We start from the raw sequence: 22,752 nt of genomic DNA on the forward strand, positions 1-22,752 counted from the left end.
TGAACAGCTCTAGAATTCTCATTGTAGGGATGTGGAGGCTGAGGCTCCTAGCCCTAAGTAACTAGTCAAGATGAGTATACAAAGTATCCACCTAGTTCTCCGGCCTAAACCAGACTAAAACTAATCTGACCACACACAATTATTTTGAAGGAAAGATAGAGGGATCATTTTTTTTCCCATCAAGTTGTCAATTTGTTGTAAGGTGGGAGAAAGGGCTCAAAATGTAAGGTGTGCTCTATTGGGAGGAATCTATGATGGTTATAGCCAGACTGCCTGGGTTACTGATAAGATTCCCTTCTTTCCTTACCTATGCCAGCAAAATAAACACACATCTTTGATGAAAAATAACTTGTCTTTAAGTGTCAATAACCAAGTGCTTAATAGCTATTAATCAATTTTCCACATGGCTTATTAACAATGACCTCCTGCTTCTATTGTTTTTGCCTTCGTTTAAATAAGTAAATGTTATTTCAAATACTAATTTCCTCAATCTAGTTTTCAAATAACAAATCAGTAATATCCTAAAAACATGCTAGTTTGAAAAATAATGATATGTTAATAAGTCTTAGAAGTATTTCCATCGTATAAAGTTGGAATGTTTGATACATCCAGAAGTTCAGATTAGTACAGCTACACCCATCCCTGTAATTTAAGAAAGGACTAAGGGATCAAATGAGTTTTTCCAAGGACAACAGACATGAAAAAAAAAATACTGACAGGCTAACAGACTAATAAAGAGCTGAATCTGCTGAGACAGAATTGCCTACCTGATAACTGTTTTCAGTATCTGGGTAAAAACATACTCTATTGTTTGAGCTTGAAAATGTTCGGATCAAAAGAAATCAGACTTGAAATAACCAGCCAAAGCCCTCTGCAGAAGTAGAAATTTGCAGTTTAAAAGCACGGGTAGATCATTTAAAAGAGGACAAAGCTGCAGTGTTTTTAAATCCATGCCTGCTCAATTAAAAAAAGTCTTGGGCGGGCGCGGTGGCTCACACCTGTAATCCCAGCACTTTGGGAGGCCAAGGTGGGCAGATCACGAGGTCAGGAGATCGAGACCATCCTGGCTAACACGGTGAAACCCTGTCTCTACTAAAAAAAATACAAAAAATTACCCAGGCGTGGTGGTGGACGCCTTTAGTCCCAGCTACTGGGGAGGCTGAGGCAGGAGAATGGCGTGAACCCAGGAGGTGGAGCTTGCAGTGAGCTGAGATTGTGCCACTGCATTCCAGCCTGGGCGACAGAGCGAGACTCCATCCCAAAAAAAAAAAAAAAATTCTTAGACAAAGTCAAAGATGAGTCTCATAATGCTGACATGGGAAAGTCATACTTTGAGAGATGGCTTCTTTCATCTACTTTCCCCCAACCATCTAAAAATGGAGCAAGTCAGTGGATGAACAGTGTGGCATTCAAACATTCTAGCCAGAAATTATTAACCAAATGATGGCTACTAAGGGAGAAATAAGAGTTTCTTTAATTTCATAGTATTAAAGGATGTTGTTTGAATAAGTTAAAATTCGCTAAGTCTTGGTCTCCAGAGAATGAAGTTTAAGTTATATATGTGTTCCCCACACAAAGAATGAATAAATTGGAGCTTACTGGAGCCAGAACTGACTTTCAAGGTTATTTATTCCAACTGCCATGGTATGTATGAGGTTGCTAAGGCCCAGAAAGCAAAGGTGACACAGCACTGAACCTGGCACAGGTGCCAGAAATAGAACCCAAAGTACTTGACTCTCAATCCAGAACTCCCTGCTTCATATGTGGGTCTCAAACCGAGAGGCTTGTTAAAAATGCAGGTTCCCATGTCTCACCCCACAAGGATGGAAGCATAATCTCCAAGGAGACATGTGTTTAGCAATGTTGAAATGCTTTTAAAAATTGAGTCTGCCTCTCTCTCAATTTCAAAGCAGAAAGTTTAACTGCATGAAATCAGGAAAGGCAAAGCTGTCAAGTTAGAGGAAGGAATTTACTGTCTCAGTAATTCTCTAAGATCTTGAAGAGCTGAGATTGGCTACTTTTCAAATCAGGGAAGACAACTTTGGCGGGCTTTTGGAAACATGATAGTAATTGAGATTCAGGAGGGATGTGACAGGTCTCATTCTGTACAATTGGGGAATTCATTCATCTCTAACCACCCAGGTATTCATTTAGTTTGAAAGAAAATGATGTATTTGTGCTAGATTTCTGCTATTTTTTCAGGGCCCGTATCTTCCTCTACCCATCAGATAGGGATGGATTTTTGTCCTCTATTCAATCTCAAGCATAGATAAAGTGATTGCATCACCAGCCGAATCCTTAAGGACAATTGGCGCCCATACCACACTTGGCTTGGGAGCACATATATGGGTCAGTGAGTATCAAGTGTGGAGCTGACTTGGCAGCCAAGCAATAAACCTGCAGTGATGGGCACAATTACAGCTCAGTTCTCAAAACCAAAGATCACACAGTTTGAATAGAGGTGTACAATTTCCAAAGCTATCAATTGTCCCAGGGTTGAATTGAGAGACGACGACAGATTAAATGCAGACAGCTGTATTTATATTGTGTCCCTTCCAAAAGTCCAGTTTGGGTTTTATAGTGAAGTGGCAAAAAGACGAGAGGACAATTTTTTTTTTTAAAAAAAAAGATGGTTCCGACTTGAGAAAGGTTATTAAAGGACTCAGGTGTGCTACGATTGTGAGATGCAAAAATCCCATTTTTAAGATAGTGACAAAAATGACATTTTGTACACAGACCCAAGTCTTGTTATGACAGTAACTTTCAGATGAAAAATTCCATAATTCCAGTCTAACAAGAGGTGGTTTGAGGAGAAACTCTCCAGTAAAATCACATGAAGTTTTCAGTCTTTCCACTAGAGGTCATGCCTTCCTAATTTTTCTTTAGTTGCTGGACTGGCTGCAACCCAAAAAGTAAGGCCTGAGGTTGAACATAAATTTTTAAAATTAATACCTGATTTTACTGGTATGCTTTCAAAGTGAGTGAGAACACAGTGCTTCTTGCCGGTGAATTTCAAATGCCCACATGCTGTTTGCAGCAATTCTACTGTCACGATGGGATGTCACATCGTCGTTGGTAAGATTCACAGCTTTGAGGTGAACAAGGAAGACAGAAAAGAAGGATGCCAGAAAGGATGATGTGGATGCCGTGATAGAAAGATTATTAATTTAGGATACAGGCACGCTTGAATGTGGACCTTAGCTTCATGATTTATTAGCTGTGTGGCATCTGGATAAGTTACTTGACTTTCTGAAACTTCAGTTTCCCCATTAAAAAAAAAATGGGGGTAATATCATCTTTCTCATAAGGTTCTTGGGACACTTAATTGAAACAGTTACATAAAGCTCCAAGCAGAGTTTCTGGAACTTTGCAATCCTGAGAAAATGTAATTGTATTTTTAAAATCACATTCTGTTCACACTTCTGTAGGTTAATGAATAACACTCGTCTTTATCCTGTTATTTGGGCATGTGACTTTTAAAAATAAATATTCCAATACTTTTTCTATCTATTCTATCACTTCCCTCCCTGTTTTTCTTTTAATTTTAGTTTTTATTTAGTAATGTAGTCATGTGGTTCAACATTCAACAGCACAGACGTGACCCTGGAGGGGAGGATCTGTGTTTGAGTCACCCCTTTATTACCAAGAGCTCCTCATGCAGTGCTTTGTAATGCAAGTAACTGTGTGTCAAGTAATGTGGGTTGAGTGGGTGAAACCTCTTGACAACTCTGTCAGCTTTGTAAGGGACAGAAAACACTCTGAATGAAAAGTTAACACAAAGCACCTGGTAGATAGGAGAGAGGGAAGGAGGGAAGGAGGGAAGGAAGAAGGGAAAGAAGTGAGAGAAAGGAAGGGAAAGAAACAGATATACTGATTTTTACAGTTAGTTTTAGCTTAATATAATCTTTTACAGGACTCAATCATGACAGCTAGCATCACTGCAAACAGTAAATCTGTCATCATTAAACAGGTACCACCAGAGCCCTGCACCATCACTCAGTTGACAAATACTTCAGATTCTGTCCTTAAAATGTTTGTGGTGTAGTGTCCTTCCTGCACACCCCATGCCACTGTGTGTCACTGTAACAGTCCAGCCAGGGTCCTCACATCTCTCACAGGGACAACTGCAATACCTCCGAACTACACTCTGTTCCCACCACCGCACCCAGCATAGGCTGCCAGAAGGAGCTTCTTGAAGGATGGGCTCTAATCACATCACTCACCTGCTCAAAATCCTTCCACGGTGCCCCCATCTCCATAGCCAAGGCCTCCCCCACTCTGAGGCCAATCTCCATTTTCGTCCCTGTCTTAACTGCTCCCTTATGTTCTTAATTGGCCCCAGCCCCCAAACGGATCCCCCACAATATGCTAGTCCCCCAAATATGTCCAGTGTTTTCCAGTCCCCAAGCCTCTACTTGTTCTCTTCAGTGTGCCCTCCCTCCTTGCCTGCTGAAATCCTGCCAATTCTACCCACCTAAAAGCTTTTGCCTCCTAACCTTACTCCACAATCATACAAATTATTTCCTGTCCCCCTTCATACAGCATTTGTACTACAGCTATTTGAGCTCATTCTCATGTCTCACATGAGACCATGAGTTTTTTGAAGACAGGAACGGAGCCTTATTCACCTGCATCCCCCTGTGTTCTGTGTCTGGGGTTTAGGCCACTGATATCTAGAAACAGTCTGACCTACTACAGAATATGTCACTGTAACATGAACTGCTTGTACAGGACTGGCAGATAGGAAAATGATGTCAGCACAATTAAAAGTTGGATTGCTTTCACATGCAATTTTCCTAGAATGCTAATATTTTGTACAATCAAGAACTAGCAGCTAAAAAAAATGTACTCAAACACAGAATACAGCAAGTCACAGAGTTCTCAGCTCAGACAGACATGTGGTTCTTGGTTCAGAAAGTATGTGGCTTTTCTTTTTGTATTGTTGCCTATGATCTTACTTCATTGTATCCTTGTCTCCAAAATTCAACAACTTTTCCTTACAATCCATCAAGCCATCTTCAACCATTTTTAAAGGTAAAGTCCTTTTTAGAGTGGTATTTCTTTATCTTTTCGTGTTTCTTTTGCTTTTGTTAATGTCCTGGTTACAAAGTCAAATAGGTTTTGGGGGATATGGTCATAACTCTGCTTTTCCTATAAGTCATGCTGGTTTTTTTAATGCAATTATGCAGAATATGAGGATTTTAAGGAATATATATACTATATTGTTATATAAGTGCCTAGACCAGTGCTCAACTTAACTGGAGATAGAAGGCCAACTGCTGGTCTTAATAAATGAATGATGACAAGGTCCCTCAATACAGTTCCCTTGAATGTCAATTGTTTGAGCCAGTTCTCAATTAACTGAATATCCGAGAGGCAGGAATTGAGTTTTTTTTTTGCTAGAATCTGAACTGCCAATGGAAATGCTCTTGGGCAAGACAGGCTGACCTGACCTGGAATATAAGTGACTCATAGTTTTCCTGGAGAGCTGAGCATGTCTGAAGAATGCTAGATCCCAGGGCTCCTGAAGAGGGAGAGGCCATCCGGGGGCAAAAGTGAAGGGAGAAGAAAAGAGAGATAGGAATCAATGTTTACAGAGTATCTGCTAAGGCCCAGTTATATATTAAGATTTACATGCAAAAATCTTTGAGACTTAATCCTCAATTGACAAGAAAAGAAAGTCAGGCTCAGTGGTGAAGGGGTTTGCCCACGGTGACTAACACAGGGTTGCCTGAATCCAAAACACTGGCTTTTCACGGCAAGGGTGGTTTCCAAACCTAGCACAAGGGCTGGGCCTCCGGAGAAGCCCTGTAATTAGTGGAGGGTGAAGGTGGAAGATGAAGTGCAAGGAAAGAATGTGACAGTCAAGTGAGCAGAACCTGGGCCTCCCACCCCCGCTTCGACCACTTGGATCGGTTTTACTTATTGGGCTTCCTCTTATGCTTCTATTTGAGGGAAGAGTCCTATAGTTTTAAAAGGGAGATGGAGAAAGGGTTAGAAAATCACTGCATCATATCAAGCTGCCTATTTCCCAATTCTGCCTGAGGCTGGCCCCTCAGCAGAAAAATAAATCAGTGCTTACAAAAGATCTTCTATGCAGACCACTGCTGGAGTGGTCCCCAAGTCCCCTCTCTAATCATTCCAAAGCTGTCTAAAAAGACTTTACTTTTCGCCAACTGTACTCACTTGTTCAACTATTTTTACCCATTTCCAGGTACTCCAGCTTGGGAGGCACCTGACATCCATCTGTGAAAGTGCAGGCAGCTTGGAGAGCAGGCCCTGCAGCTCCTGCTCTGGGGACAAGCTCTGCATCCCAAGCTCTGAACCTGAAGCAGGACACCCAGGGCCTAGTCCTGGTGCTCCCTACAAGGGGGTAGGGGAATCAGCTCCTCTCCCTAGGTTTCTGTTTCCTTGGCTACCAAGTAAGTTGGGTGGAATACATGGTTTTTAATGTCCTTTCTGACTTTCAGGACTCTATACATAAATAAGTGTGTTTGTGTTTCTGTGGGGAGAGAAAGGGGAGGGAGATGCGATATTAAGAGTGAGTTTGTATAACAGCAAGTCAGAGCTAAGATGTATAAAAGTACACACCCCCCAGAAACACACAGAGGTGTATGCAGAACCTTCAGACAGATTTCTCTAAAATTTATGAGTATCATGAAACAGATTGTAAAAAAGAAAACTATGACATTATGAACGCTGATCTAACTTAAGCACAAAGAGCAAAGTAGACCTTTAACTCCCCCGAGATAACAACTTCGGATAATACAAAATGTAATTTCAGATCTTTCCAAAGGCCTTTCAAAGTCCAGGGATGAGGTTCTGTGTTGCAGGGAAAGGACTCGTACAGAAGTTTTGTTAAAATGATTAGAAAGAAAATAACAGGCACTGGATTTACAGCCAGTCTCTGGGCAATGAATGATTTGTCACCTTTTTCTTCTGTTATTGATTCTCGCCTATAGACAGACGAGGAATGACTGCTGATGAAAGCGTCTGCGTAGCGGCCACTCAGACTGTGTCAAATATTCCTCCGGCGTCCCGCCCCGGGCTCTCTCTGCAAAGGCCCAACCTCCTCACAGATGCTCCGCTGCCTCGTTCAGCCAGCATCTGGAGGTACAACTTCTGACTACCTAACTCGCGCTCCACCCTGTTTTCCATCCCCCCAAATCTTATTTTCTGACACAGGGGCTCGCTCTGTCACCCAGGCTGAAATGCAACGGTGTGATCACGGCTCACTCCAGCCTCAAACTCTTGGGCTCAAGCAATCCTCTCACCTCAGCCTTTTGAGTAATCAGGACTACAGGCGGTGCCACCACACCCAGCTTTTTTTTATATATATTTTTTGTAGAGATGAGGTCTCGCTATGTTGCTGAGGCTAGTCCCGAACTCCTGGCCTCAAGCCATCCTTCACACCCATCCCTCACAAATCCATTTTAAACAAACAAACAGAACATTACGTACCCTTCAAATAACAATGAACACATCGTTTATTTGACTAATGCTGCTGCCTTCCTGATATTGCTAATGTCACTATCCACCACCACCTGGGCTCTTAATAACATCACTCATTTACTGGGCACCTACTTTGGGCCAAAAGGTTTCTTGTGAATTGTTATTAATCTTTATAATGCCCTCTTATGATGAAGACCTTGAGGTTAAATAAATGCTCAAAGTTACATAGTCAGTGGATCTGATAGCTGAACCAAGCTCTCTGACTCCAAAGGTAGGGTTGACTCACAAACATTTCATCCAGGTCAGTAGTGTGAACTATCCACACCTGCTCCCACCTCATTCCTCAACCTCATCTCACAACTTCGCTATTGCCCTGGGAGACCGCAGAGCACCTGCAGCTTTCAAACACTATGGGATCCAGAAATGAAGGAAGCTGGGAGATCCAGGCACAAGCAGGGAGCACCAAACCTAGAGGCAAGTTCTCAGTCCAGAATTTTCTGCCCCTTCCCTCTCTTCTTGCCTAATTCTACCAATTAGGTTCATTGTCACGATTAAAAGGGAAACTGGAAATTGCTTTCTGGAAGTTAAGGCGCTAATTAACATTTACTCTTTGGTTTAAATGTCTGGAATTGGAGAACAACATTCTTAACGCAGCAAAGAACACCAGCCCTGCCACAGTGGGAGTTGGATTCAGAGTTGACTGAGTGATTTGGAGGTCTACAAAGTGCCATGATGGGCCGTCAGGGTCCTGGAAGGTCCTGAGGACAGAAGTAGGAGACAGGGAGGCAGCAAGAGGCAGCACCCAGGAAACCCTTTGTCAATTTCAAAACTGTGCTCAATTTTTTTCTCTTCCTCTTCCTTTCCCTCCCCTCCTATACAGCCTCCTACTCCCCAAACCCAAGATAATAGGATGAGTACTGCATTCCGGTTGCAAACTGAGTTAAAATGGCACCTGTGAACCCAGGCATTATTTGAAATATCTTTACATGGAAATACGTGATCTGATTCTAAACAAACAAGTGTATACCTATCGCATTTCTAAATGTGAGGGAGCTATTATTCACAGCAAGTCCCTGAGAAGCTAATTAAATGTGCCACAAACAAGCATAACAGTCCAACAGAAAAAAGGCGGGGTGGGGGTGGGAGGTTGGAATGGGGCATCTGCTTAAAGTTTTCATTCCTAATAAGAGATGTTTCTAAATTGAGTTGAAGAGAGCTTGTGATACATTGGAGAGTCACTTACACTGTTTCACTTCAATTACTGGTTTCTCCCCAAAATAAGATTCAACAGAAAAGGTGACAGGAGTTCACCTCAGATACCAGTCTCAACAGGCATGGAGGCAGAGACTTCATTAATAGTATAGGAACTCACCAAGTAACTTTATTCCTCCCACCCCTTTTGGATATCCACATAGAAGTTCTAATAGATGTAAGAGCAAATGCAAATCACTGGCATTGTAAAGAATAAGGTCCACCACGGGGAAGTGCTACTGGGGACCACGAGGAAGCATGAAGGCCAAAACTTAGAAAGAGTCTGACCTATTCCCGATGAGCCAGTGATTTTTCCCCGTGGCCATGGTCAGGTCACTGTATCCTTTACGGCTTTTGCTTTTCTGCGTGCAAAACAGAAATATTCCACTGATCACATTCATTCACTTTGTAACTGCACAGACCCTTAGAACATCTAATGTAACTGCTTCCTTGTATGGATGAGAACACTGAATGTCAAAGAGGTACTGCTGGTAGTTAGAGGCCACGCAGCTAGTCAGTGTTAGAACTAAGATAATTAGGGCAAGGTCTCCTGATTCTTAAACGAGCACTCCGACACCCTGGTATCAGTCAAGTATTACCACGCAGAGGTGATGAGATCACCTGAAAACGTGTAAACCTATATCCTTACAGGACAGTCTGGCCATCACCCTAATGGCAACATTCAGTTGACATTCAATCTCCATAGTTTCTACTAAACGGATATGATAAAATATAATAAAATACGCCATATCTGATACATTTATAAGCCAGTATAATATTCATTTAAAGTTAAATCTACCTTTTAAATACACATCTAAATTATTTTCACACCAAAGATCCTATGTTCTAGTTTATTTACAGGTGGTGTTAACCAAACACATTTAAAATAAAATCAAAATCACCTGCAAAGAAATTGTTTAGGTTTAATTTTAATTCATGTCATACAAAAATGAATCCAATTTGCTTTAAAAACATTGAGTAAATGTCTGACAATCTCTATAATGACTTGCAACTAGAGAATTCCTAACTGCGTCTACTCGCTGCTTCACAAAACACATTTCTCTGGCTGGGCACGGTGGCTCATGCCTGTAATCTCAGCACTTTGGGAGGCCGAGGCAGGTGGATCACCTGAGGTTGGGAGTTCAAGACCAGCCTGACCAACACGGAGAAACCCCATTTCTACCAAAACTACAAAAAATTAGCCGGGTGTGGTGGCGCATGCCTGTAATCCCAGCTACTCGGGAGGCTGAGGCAAGAGAATCGCTTGAACCTGGGAGGCAGAGGTTGCAGTGAGACAAGATCACGCCATTGTACTCCAGTCTGGGAAACAAGAGTGGAACTCCATTTAAAAAAAAACACCCTTCTCCAAAATAAGTCTACTCAGAGCTTGACAGGAAAAAGAATACTTATGGCTAGCTTGGACTGTAAGACATATATTCATGTGTGTAAAAGGTTAATTTAGAACTCCAGTACTCATGTTAACCTGTTTTATTCAAATAAAGTTTTTTAATAAAACTGACAGATTAACAGAGTAAAAAAAAAATTTAAACTGTGGAAATAATAATTGTTTCCCATGCCAAAACATAGCAGAAATACTTCTATCTGAGGACATCTAGATGGCCTAACAACCTTTGAGGAAAAGACAGTGAAAATCACTGCATTTCAGGAACTTGTTTTTGAGAGACCTCAGTGAGTACAAAAGACAATGTCTAGTTTTGTAATACATCCAGCTTCACCAAGAGAACACGGAACAGTAGGAATAGGGTTAGATCACTGAGGGATGTAAATTCCGAAGGAAGAATTTAGGACCTCACCCCTTAAAACCATGTTATCCATCTTCCCACTTGGACCGAAAGCTTTTTCTGAGGACAAGAACAATGTCACACCCCAGTGTCTAAGGCCCTCATAGTAAAAATTCAATTTGTTGGATCAAAGAAAAAATAAATTGCTCAAGTAGGTTGGGAGATGTAATAAGACCTCAAATAATGTGGCAAAACATTCATGTATTTTAAATTTTTTTTAATGATGGAAAGTTTAAAGTTGGAGTTTATAGAAAATAAGGGGAGATGATGGATTATGAGAGGAAGCTTCTAGAAGAGGTAATATCTTGAGTTGACCCTTTGAAGAAGAAAGGGATTCAGAGAGATGGGAAGATGGCTTAGCCATTACATGGTCTGATTTCTGAAAATAAATAAATAAATAAATAAATAAATAAATAAATAAAGTTTCTGGACATCAATTGCCTTGTGTGAAATGATTAGTATCAAAAACCTTTAAAGTATTTTCAACTCTAAAAATTTCGTTAAAATAGCTGTTTATAAAGAGGCGCTTGAGTTCAGCTATGCAGCCCACAGCCTGTATTTAAGCAGGCAATTATAAAATATATGCATTTAAGGTTTTCATTTAAAATTATTAGCCTTTTTATAACGTCACCTGTTTGAGTGTTAACTCTTTGCCATTCATTCTTCAAAAATCACTCCAATTTATTTCCACTTCATGTTCCTACGTCAAGCAAACCGTGTTTTTTATGAAATTTTTTTTCCTCTTCTATGCCACATATAGAAAAGGTGCGCAGAAAGTCCTAAGAGGTACACCAAACAAAGTCTATCCAAACTCTTCTTCCTCTCAATCTTTACCTTCTTATGTAAAAGATCTGCCTAAAACATTACATACCCCGAGTAGCTGTCCTTGATTATGTCTAGCTTAGCGGTCCTCCTACGTGCTCATGTTCTGCCGTGTACTCTACCCAAGAATAGCCCCAATATATTCTACTTTCCTGTCCCCCATTTAGAAAGCCAGCTCTCGAGAATCGAGGTCTGGTGATATTCAGGCCACTTACCTACTTTATTGTTTGGAGACAGGGACTCACTGTCGCCCAGGCTGGGGTGCGGTGGTGCTATCATGGCTCACTGCAGCCTGCATGCTACTTTACTTCTAGTTCCTAACACAGTAATTGGCACATGGTAAGCTTGCTGAATGAATGAGTAAATTAGTGGTTTGGAAAACAGAGGCCTGGATAAATGTGTGCGTAGGGGAATGCAGTTCATTTCAGGCAAATTCTCATGCCAGAGCAAGTCAAACAATGGAGTATGGAAGAGGCCTCAGAGATCATCTAGTCCAATTCCCTCATTTTCCAGAAGCCAAGGAATGTTGGCATAGTGCCCATGAAATAAAAAGAAAAAAATCAGAAAACATAAAAGAATATTAGGAAAAGCAAACATTCTCTCCTATTAAATGAAGCTTCCAGCCCACACAATCTGCAAGTGGAATTTAAATAATTAAAATTTTCACAACACTAATTGCATTTGGCCCTTATTAGTGACTTCAAATGTGTCCACCTATTACCTAATGGTGTCAAGTCTACATCTTCCAGGCTCAATTACTTAGTATGTAGATGAGGCAAGATTCTCCCTTCTCTCCCTTCTGTGTTTCTCCAGCCTTTCAATGCTCATTAGCACCTCCAACAGAAGGTAGAGGAAATGAAACTCCAATTTATCAATGTCAACTGTTGAACCAGCAAATTGCATCAGTCCCGCCCCCACATGGAAGTGTTTGGACAATTCTGAATAAACAAGATGTTGGCAGCTGTGTTCCAATGGTTCAGTAATTGCATTGTTTCCTACTGTGCTTTATGGGTTGTGAAATGAATTTATTAAATAACCTACACAAGGGGAATGTGGTGTGGTCTAGCAGCAACAGCTCCAGGCTGGTGCTGGGAAACTGTCTACAGTTTCCCATTTTCACCACTAGTCTTGACTCCAGTTTTTCTGGTCCTCAGGCTCCTACACTATTCACGAGGATAGTAATTCTGCCCTAGGCAGTAGAGGAATCTCTAGGACTTAAAACACTATGTGCTTTTTTCTCCCCATACAGAGGTTTAACATTTATCATATTCTCCATATACTAGAACCTTGCATACTTACTTTCAGACCAAACTATGCCCTTTGAGTACAACATCCATAACACAAAATGGTACACAGGGCTTGTAGGAAGGTAAGTTTAACTGGCCACTTAATACTGGATGACTATAGTCAGGAAAGGAAAATTGAGTCAAGGCACGTGTAGCAAATGGTGGAGGGATTTAAACACAGAGAACGGGAATCAATTCTATTGTCTTCAGTATGTTTGCCAGTTGGTATTTTGCCAGTTGTCTTGGGCTATTAAAACTAGTTGGTGTTTTGTAAATTTAGCCTGGCTGTGTGACAGAATGAGAAATTATTTTCAAGTGAAGATGGAAAACCTACTTGTATATCATTGTGATTATAAAAGGGAAAAATAAATTAAGTTTTAATAAAAGTCAACCCTAAACCTAGTTGACCCCATGTCAGTTAGTGTTAAACTGGCCTCTTAATCTCAGAAGGCAGACAAGTTTGAGATTACAGAGAATGCCCTCAGAGAGAATCTCCCTGCATCTCTGGTATTAGCTGGACCCTAAATAGCACAAGGTCTCCGGGTGGTTGGAGCACTTTTTTCTAGACACAGAGGAGGCTGAGTGCAGATGAGATTGGGGAGGACAGCTTCCTTTCAGCTGAAGTTTGGCACTCACTCAGCATCCCAATTTTGGCTTCAATTGTTTTCCCTTTCCTTCTTTTTTTTTTTTTTGAGATGGAGTCTTGCTCTGTCGCCCAGACTGGAGTGCAGTGGTGGAATCTCAGCTCACTGCAAGCTCCACCTCCCAGGTTCACACCATTCTCCTGCCTCAGCCTCCCAAGTAGCTGAGACTACAGTAGGTGCCCACCACCACGTCCGGCTAATTTTTTGTATTTTTTTAGTAGAGACGGGGTTTCACCATGTTAGCCAGGATGGTCTCGATCTCCTGACCTCGTGATCCACCCGCCTCGGCCTCCCAAAGTGCTGGGATTACAGGCGTGAGCCACTGCGCCCGGCACCCTGTCTTTCTTAAAGGGCAAAAAGTATAAAAGAAAGCTTCCTCTCAAATTAAGAAGCAAAATTTCACACTTTCCAAGCTCCCCAACCTATTAACTTATAAATAGAACTTGATTCAGATCCACAGTCGTTTATTGAAATTGACTCATGACCACTGGTCTGCCCAGCTGGTATAATCACTGGCAGATTGTGTTCCCTGGGCTGGCTCACCTCCACGACGGGAACAATGATTGTGAGGGTTTAAGATGATGTGTGTGGAACACATAGCCCAGTGCTGACACTTAGAGAAGTCTATTGAAGCTGGAGAGGTACTCTACGTCCCAGCTTCTTATTTAAACCTCACAGAAGCCCTGTGATGTAGGAATTATGGTCACTATTTCCCAGACAGAGAAGTTAAGTGGCTACTCAGGGGCATGAAGGTGGAAAGTAGAGTCAGAAACTAAAACCAGGTCTCGCTCATTCCAAATCTTACATGCTTTCTGCAACAAGATGTTGGTGTTTATCTCTAGAACATTCTGTTCTGTCTACACTTAGTGTCCTTTAAGGCACTCTTCTGAATAAACTGAAAGTTTTGCTTCCCGCTCCCCACCATAAAAGTTGAATGACATATGTGCATAGAAGTTCACTGGTAGCTTTTTGTTTGATATGGTTTGGCTGTGTCCCCACCCAAATCTCATCTTGAATTTTAGCTCCCATCATTACCACCTGTTGTGAGAGGGATCAGGTGGGAGATCATTGAATCATGGGATTGGTTTCCCCCATAATGTTCTCGTGGTAGTGAATAAGTCTCATGAGATCTGATGGCTTTATCTGGGGAAACCCCTTTCGCTTGGCTCTCATTCTCTTGTCTGCCGCCATATAAGACATATCTTTTGCCTTCCGCCATGTTTGTGAGGCCTCCCCAGCCATGTGGAACTGTGAGTCCATTAAACCTCTTTTTTCTTTATAAATTACCCAGTTTTGGGTATGTCTTTATCAGCAGTGTGAAAATGGACTAATACGACGTTCTTTGGATTCTGGCTGAATGCAAATTTGTTTTATTTTCTAATTAGGAGCCCTCCAGCCAAATTATAGGTCAACAGCCCAAAGGGCAGCACAGTGAAGTGTGGGTTTTAAAAAGCCACATACAGTGACGCATGGAGAAATGAAGATCAGCACTTGAGTCCTACCTGGAGTGTGCTCTAGAATGGGACAGGAGGCCAAGGATCCAGCACACCTGTGCAGCAGGAGTGGGGCCCAAGATGCCTGTGTCCCTGACTCACAAGACCTAGCAAGTCATTTCCTCATCTGGGGCCTGTTTTCTCATTTGGAAAATGGTAGATTTGGACAGGTTGATATATTTTTTTAAGTCATACTTATTAAGGTATACTTTATATACAATAAAACTCACCCCCCCCATATATATATATATATATATATATATATATATATATATATATATATATATATATATATATATATATATATATTTTGAGACGGAGTCTCGCTCTGTCGCCCAGGCTAGAGCGCAGTGGTGCAATCTCGGCTCACTGCAGGCTGCGCCTCCCAGGTTCATGCCATTCTCCTGCCTCAGCCTCCCGAGTAGCTAGGACTACAGGCGCCCGCCATCACACCCGGCTAATTTTTTTGTATTTTTTGTAGAGACGGGGTTTCACCGTGTTAGCCAGGATGATCTCAATCTCCTGACCTCGTGATCCACCCGCCTCGGCCTTCCAAAGTGCTGGGATTACAGGCATAAGCCAACGTGCCCGGCCAAAACTCACCCCCTTTTAAAGATGCAGTTCGGTAAGTTTGGCAAAGGTATAAAGTTGTATAACCACCACAATTAAGACAGAATATTTCCATCACCCCAAAAAGTTTTCTCACACCCCTTTGCAGTTAATCCCCTTCCCAGCCCCCAGGCAATCTCTGTTCTGATTTATGCCTGTAGTTTTACTGTTTCCTGCATGACATATAAATGACACAGTACGTAGCCTTTTATAACTAGTTTCTTTCACTTAGCATGATGCTTTTAAAGTTCACCCATTTTGTTGATTCATCAATAGCTTGCTTCTTTTTGTACAGATGTGACACAATTTATTTATCCATTCACCGTTTTCTGGGTTTTTGCTAATATGAATAAAACTTTTGTAAACATTTGTGTACAGGCCTTTGTGTAGAAATAAATTCCATTTCTCTCAGACGAATACCTGGAAGTGCGATCGCCGTTCCATTTTTTAAGGGTGGATGTGTGTTTGACTTTCTTGTAAAGTGTCACATTATTTTAAAAAATGCTTGTACCATTCTGCATTCCTACCAGCCATGTATGGACCGGATGACATTTAATGGGCAACCTCAGATAATGACTGTTGTTCCTTTGACAAATCAATGCCTCATGTGTGCATTCTTCCAGAGCATTCTTCTGTTTATGTTTATGTTTGTATGTATGTATGGTGTATCTATAAATATTGAGACAGGATCTCGCTCTGTTTCCCAGGCTGGAGTGCAGTCTAGAGCATTCTTCTGTTTATGTTTATGTTTGTATGTATGTATGGTGTATCTATAAATATTGAGACAGGATCTCGCTCTGTTTCCCAAGCTGGAGTGCAGTGGCACGATCACAGCTCACTGCAGCTTCAACCTCCCAGGCTCAAGTGATACTCCCACCTCAGCCTCCTGTGTAGCCGGGACCACAGGCATGCACCACCATGCCCAGCTAATTTATTTGTTTATTGTAGAGACAAGGGTCTTGCTATGTTGCTCAGGCTAGTCTTGAACTCTTGGGTTCAAGGGGTCTTCCTGCTTTGGCCTCCCAAGTAGGTAGGACTACAGGTGCATGCCACAATACCCAGATAATTTTTTGTGCTTTTTATTTTCTTAGAGACGGCGTCTTGCTATGTTGCCCAGGCCTCAAGCCATCCTCCCACCTCGGCCTCCCAGAGAGCAAGGATTACAGTTGTAAGCCACCACACCAGGCTACGTTCTTCATTTTATTCAAAAAATATATTATGAACATAGAGTTTTCCTGACTGTTAGTATGTTAATGCTTCAAAGATGAGTGTGTGTGAGTGTGTGTGTGTGTGTGTGTGTGTGTGTGGGTGTCAAAGGGAGAGAGGAGAAAAAAGATGAGGATCCACTGATGGACATCTGAGCTCTGAATAATGCATTGACACGTTTCATTTTAAGCACTGTTTAGGTTCCATTCCGCACCCCCACCCCCTGCAAGCTAATTACCTCACCATTTTGAGCACCCAGCTGTTGCTGTCTGAAACCTGACCTTCACTATGAACACACTCACAGCTGCAGTAATCTGCCTACCTAATAATGCATGGCTCTTATCTGCTTCATACACCCCTTTCTGCAAACCAACTTCATGAGGCAGCCTCCTCTGTTTCTCTGGTTACTTCTCCCCAAACCAGTTATCTCTCTGCAAAAGAAAAGGAGGAGGCAAGTACATCTTGAGAAGGAGAAAGGAGTTTTGGTTGCAGTGCAACCCTAGAGATAGTGCTATTGGAAGCCTGCCTGTCTGTTCATTTTGCCACTCAACGTGTTGTTCATGGCCCAGGAGCAAAGGCATCATCTGCTCGCTAGCATGAAGAATCTCAGCCTGCATTTGGGACCTAATGAATCAGAATCTGTGCTTTAACAGAAGATCCAGTGGATCTGTAGGCATGTTAAAGTTCTACATGTGCTAGAAAGGAACAGAAATCACAGGGAGTTTCCATGTATTCAATTTAAGAACCGACCTATGGGTATGAGATGGTCAAGCTAATAAGGACAAAACTATGTCAAAAAGGCTGTGTGGTCTCAAGGAAACAGCCCACACCCAGTGATCCTCCTGATACCCATACCCTTGCGTAGTCCCCTCAAACACTGAATGAGGGTTGGTCTGTGTGGCAAATCAAATAGGTAAACGTGATAGTATGAGACTTCTGAAGCTAGGTCATAAAGACACTGCAACCTTTTCTTGCCTTGGTTCCTTGGATCACATGCTTGGGTGGAAGCCAGTCACTATGTCGCAGCACTTCAAAGGAACCTTGTGGAGACGCCCACATGGGGATGAGCCGAGGCCTCCCAACTGCAGCACCAACTTCCCAGCCATGTGAGTCCGGTGGAAACTCTAGCCCCAGTCAAATTTTAGATGATTTCAGCCCTGCAACCTCATGAGAGACCACAAACCAGAACTACTCAACTACACCACTCCTAGATGCCTGACTCCAAGAAACTGTGAGATCATAAATGCTTAATGTTGTTTTAAGCCACTAAGTTTTGGAATAATTGTTTACTCAGCAGCAGCAAACTAGTACAAGAACAGAAAGATGGATCTGAGACTGGGTTTTCTCAACTAGTAGCAATTTTCCATAGTCACGTCACCTTCTTAGTATCTCAGATGACTCATCTGTGAAAGGAGCCATGGCAGTTCATCAAATCTTCAACACTTTTGGATATAAGATGCACCGTTGCTTTACAAATCACTAGAATAGTGAAAAATATTCAAATTCAGACAATCGATTCTAAGGTGCCTACTATTATTAGGGATGTACAATTGTGAGAAAGGGGAGCATCTTAAAAAAATCAATGAAATACAATTATTATACTTGTTCTGTCCACTACACAGAGATGGTGTAAGGATCAATGGAATAACAGATGAAAAGACTGGAAGGATGAAGGAACTTGATGGGCAGCATCCTGAAGCACCACAGCTTGAGAAGGGGAAATGACATTACAGTTATCCAAACTAGCTAATTAAACTGGCTCTGCTGGGCTTTGCCAACTCACTTTTAATGCTATTGCCTCAGGCTCCTATCACAATTTATACTCAAAATGACTGCTACAAAGCCCAGCTGAGAGGAAAAAAAACAGTCAAGGAGAACCATCCACAGCAGTGTTCCTTAAACCTGTTTGAGCATAAGAAATCACTTGGTGCCTTTGATAAATACACACCCAGGCCCCTTGCCTAGAGACTCTGATTCAGTAAATCTGCAGCTGGCATTGGAATCTGTATTTTAACAAGGGCCCCAGGCAGTTCTTACGAACACACAAGTTTCAAAACACTGATCTAAACAAGATAATATTGACACACTTACTGATATTTTTTCTTGGATCAAACTGTAATAGAAAATCACAAACCTAGATTGCCTTAGTTACATCTCCTCCCCATATAAAAATGCTTTCAACTAAGTGAAAGATTTTACTGAAGGCCAATGCAAAAAACTTGTCTTACCAAGTAAAGTTTATCATCAGCTGGAAAACTTACTTAAGTGATGGCAAATTACACTATTCAATGTTTATAATATTTAAAAATCTGCATAATAAGGATATGAAAGAGTATGTCTCGCCAGGTGCGGTGGGTCACGCCTGTAATCCCAGCACCTTGAGAGGCTGAGGCGGGCGGATCACGAGGTCAAGAGATTGAGACCAGCCTGGCCAACATGGTGAAACCCCATCGCTACTAAAAATACAAAAATTAGCTGGACGTGGTGGCGTGTGCCTGTAGTCCCAGCTACTCGGGAGGCTGGGGCAGGAGAATCACTTGGACCCGGGAGGCGGAGGTTGCAGTGAGCCGAGAGATCGAGCCACTGCACTCCAGCCTGGGCAACAGAATGAAACTCTGCCTGGAAAAGAAAAAGGGGACCGGGGGGAAGAGTACATCTACTGACAGACCTGTCTCTTTTAAATCAATCAATAAAAGTTGCTAGGCAACCATATTTTCCTTTTTTGCATAGACTGCCAGGAATCTTTTATCTAAAATTTATGCCCTCAAACAATAGCTATCTACCTATGTCAAATAAAACATTTCCTGTGAGATGTTAGCTTTGCCCTGTATTTTAATGGACACATTATAGTAAAATCTTTTTCCTTTAGACCTTTTTTTTTTTGGAAGAAAGCAGAAAACAAATTTTGAAGTCAATAATGTTAGGTCATTTTTGTTGTTGTTTCTAATCACATTCAGACTAAACAACTGTAACACAATTTCTAGCAATTCTTCCTTCAGTTGCTCAGGTTGTCTCCCCTCGTGGCAATCCCTTGGCCTGCTTTTAAAACACAAAACAAATGCTAACCCTATCTTGGCAAGGAAAGTCAATGACTCATTCAAGCCAAAGAGTTAAGAGACTAAACAAAAAATAATTTTAGCGCAGCTCCTCAAAAGGCTCTTCTTTTCTCTCTCAGATGTACAACATAATTTTCTGACAATCTGACGCAACTATGGCAGCACATTCAAGCCATTAAAAATCTTTTTTCTGCAAAAACAAAACAAAAACAAAAAACTTCCACTTCATTTTTAAACATCTCATTTGTGTGCCTTCAGTTTCGCAACAGAAATTCATCCTTGACCTAAACTTCTAAATATTCCACAAACAATAATTAAGTCACTAGGACCCTGCTGTGAAAAGGGCATTTTCTGACAGATGGGCTACGAAGTCAGAGCACAAAAATAGATTCTATGCTTTTCCAGCCTTACAGAGCAAGGAGACGTGGGGCAAGGGTTTCCATAATCAACCTTCAGAACAACCCTAGAACTCTGGGTGCACGTAGTGTCTCAAAAGGACATGACTAAGTTGTCAATACTTTAGAGCGTGGGATAGTGTTACTCGCTGTTGTTGCAATGAAGTTTTTCAATCTCTATGATTCTTCTCCTACCAGCCTGGCTGCCCAGGCTAACTTCACCCTCTTCTCCTTCTAGGGAAAGGTCTTTTCCTCTGTTGAGTCCTGCAGACTTCCCTCTCTTTCCATCAAGGCTAATCCCATCCTCCCCTGTATTCCCATGACACTCACAATATGGCATCACAAATGGTTGTCTCATATGTCTGTCTCTGCTACTGAACCAAGCAGCTTGAGGTCAACGATCTCAGTTCATTCATCTTTGAATTGCAGGACCAATCACACTGCAGGTACATGGTACATGGCAGGTACTCTGCCAATTTGTGTGAATGAATGAATCGAGTTCAGCAACACTGAGGTCCCTCAGATTCTCTGACTCAAATCCAGTTATGAGGCCGGGCATGGTGGCTCACACCTATAGTCCCAGCTACTCAGGAGGCTGATGTAGGAGAATCGCTTGAACCCAGGAAGTGGAAGTTGCAGTGAGCCAAGATCATGCCATTGCACTCCAGCCCAGACGACAAAGCGAGACTGCATCTCAAAAAAAAAAAACCAAACAAAACAAAACAAACAAAAAAACCCAAATCCAGTTATGATGCAAATAAGGACATGAGGACTGAGGAAGTAATTTTCCCCAGTTATATCAAAAAAAAAAAAAAAAAAGAAGAAGAAAGAAAAAAGACAAAAATCCAGATTTTCTCATCCCCATTCCACTGCTTTTCTATCATGCCTCCTCTTTGCACATGCTGTTTCTCCTGTGGGGCCACTCCTTTTTGTGTCTTCTGCCACTACTTTTCCGACCTTCCTGAGGTTTCTTAGCCCCTCCCAAGTCCTTCACATCTCAGCCAAGGAACAAAAACAAGGAAACCAAACACCACAAAGAAGTGCCAGCTGTTCTACCGTGAGAGCAAGACAAACTGGGAACACAAATGCAATGCTGGCAGAATTTCTTTCTGGGATAGACTGAAATGTTCCTTGAATTGCGCAGACAATTACTTTCTACCACAGGTACAGATGTTTGAGAGGATTGTTCTTTTTTTTTTTTTTTTTTTTGAGACAGAGTCTTGCTCTGACGCAGGCTGGAGTGCAGTGGCACGATCTCAGCTCACTGCAACCTCTGCCTCCCTGGTTCAAGCGATTCTCCTGCCTCAGCCTCCCGAGTAGCTGGGACTACAGGCGCATGCCACCATGCCCAGCTAATTTTTGTATTTTTAGTAGAGACAGGGTTTCACCATGTTGGCCAGGATGGTCTCAATCTCTTGACCTCGTGATCAGCTCACATCAGCCTCCCAAAGTGCTGGGATGACAGGCGTGAGCCACCACGCCTGGCCGATTGTTCACATTTTATTTGGCCAGGGATCTTTAGAAAGTGTCTTTAAAAAAAAAAAAAAAAAAAAGCTGGGTGCGGTGGCTTAAGCCTGTAATCCCAGCACTTTGGGAGGCTGAGGCGGGCAGCTCACGAGGTCAGGAGATCAAGACCATCCTGGCTAGCACGGTGAAACACCGTCTCTACAAAAAAATACAAAAAAATTAGCTGGGTGTGGTGGCGGGCACCTGTAGTCCCAGCTACTCGGGAGGTTGAGGCAAGAGAATGGCGTGAACCTGGGAGGTGGAGCTTGCAGTGAGCTGAAATCGCACCACTGCACTCCAGCCTGGGCGACACAGCGAGACTCTGTCTCAAAAAAAAAAAAAAAAAAAAAGTCTTAAAAACATACAAGCACATTTGCAAATTTTATTCCACTTAATCCAGAAAAATGCTAGGCCCTGATTCCCAAATCACTTATAGATTCCAGAAAAAAATGATGACAATTTGATCTAATTTCTTAAAACATTTTAACCGTCTGTTGGTCTAAAACTATTTATTAAGACATCAAGAATCATTTTCAGTCTTAACTCTGGAATTAAACTAAAAAATTTAGATGAATCACTTCTACTATTGTCTCTGTTCTACCTTTGCTTAAATATAACAAAACTCTGCCAACTTACAGATTTACTAGCCTTGATCCTAGAATTCATGGTGAAAAACCTGACCTCCTTTGGAAGATCAAGAAGAAGAAAGATTGGGGGAAAAAAAAAAAAAAGGCCTTCCCTCAGACAAAAAGCTTTTGATTACAGGATGTCACTATTTTCAGAATGTTCTTAGCACATTCCCAGTGAAGCACCATCATATCCTCCCTCTCTGGAGATGAAAAAAAGTCCCACCACTTCTAAGCTGGGTGTCTCTGAGGTGTTGGAGTGAGGCAATAGTGAGGTCAGAGAGTATGGTTATATGCTCTGGTTTGTTTCTGAGTGGATGGAACTGGGTTATAAATCAAGAGATCTAATTATAGACATAGCTGTATCCCTCCCTGGACCTCAGCTTCCTTTAATATTAAATAGAGGGCATTCCTTGAAGGTAGCATTCTGTGACTCCCTAACAGAGATAATCTCAGAGCATGTTTCTGAAAAAGCAGAAAATGGACCAAATGTCTTTAGGGAGTTCACTCTATTTTACTTTTGCTACGGAAACCCAAGGGTGTCTGGCACCCACCCCAAGCCATTGCGTCACCCAGACCTCTAACACACAAAAGCAGCCTGGGT

The 22,752-nt window shown here is 41.9% G+C and overlaps 1 protein-coding gene across 1 annotated transcript in view, besides 2 other annotated features; it reads right to left on the reverse strand.

The window, feature by feature from the left end:
• The window catches only part of MB21D2 (Mab-21 domain containing 2), a 121,042-nt gene that overhangs the window by 16,790 nt on the left and 81,500 nt on the right, over positions 1 to 22,752 (reverse strand). The window lies entirely within an intron of this gene.
• Positions 11,428 to 11,604: a silencer, noted in NCBI's record as "fragment chr3:192542821-192542997 (GRCh37/hg19 assembly coordinates)". NCBI's record gives its function as "represses an EF-1alpha promoter that drives an FKBP-Casp9 reporter gene in an ReSE screen in K562 erythroleukemia cells {active_cell/tissue: K562}" and the evidence as "EXISTENCE:reporter gene assay evidence [ECO:0000049][PMID:32094911]".
• Positions 17,534 to 17,733: an enhancer, noted in NCBI's record as "active region_20992". NCBI's record gives its function as "activates an Ori minimal core promoter by ATAC-STARR-seq in GM12878 lymphoblastoid cells {active_cell/tissue: GM12878}" and the evidence as "EXISTENCE:reporter gene assay evidence [ECO:0000049][PMID:35858748]".

This window comes from Homo sapiens, chromosome 3 (assembly GCF_000001405.40).
Source record: "Homo sapiens chromosome 3, GRCh38.p14 Primary Assembly".
Classification (NCBI taxonomy): domain Eukaryota; kingdom Metazoa; phylum Chordata; class Mammalia; order Primates; family Hominidae; genus Homo; species Homo sapiens.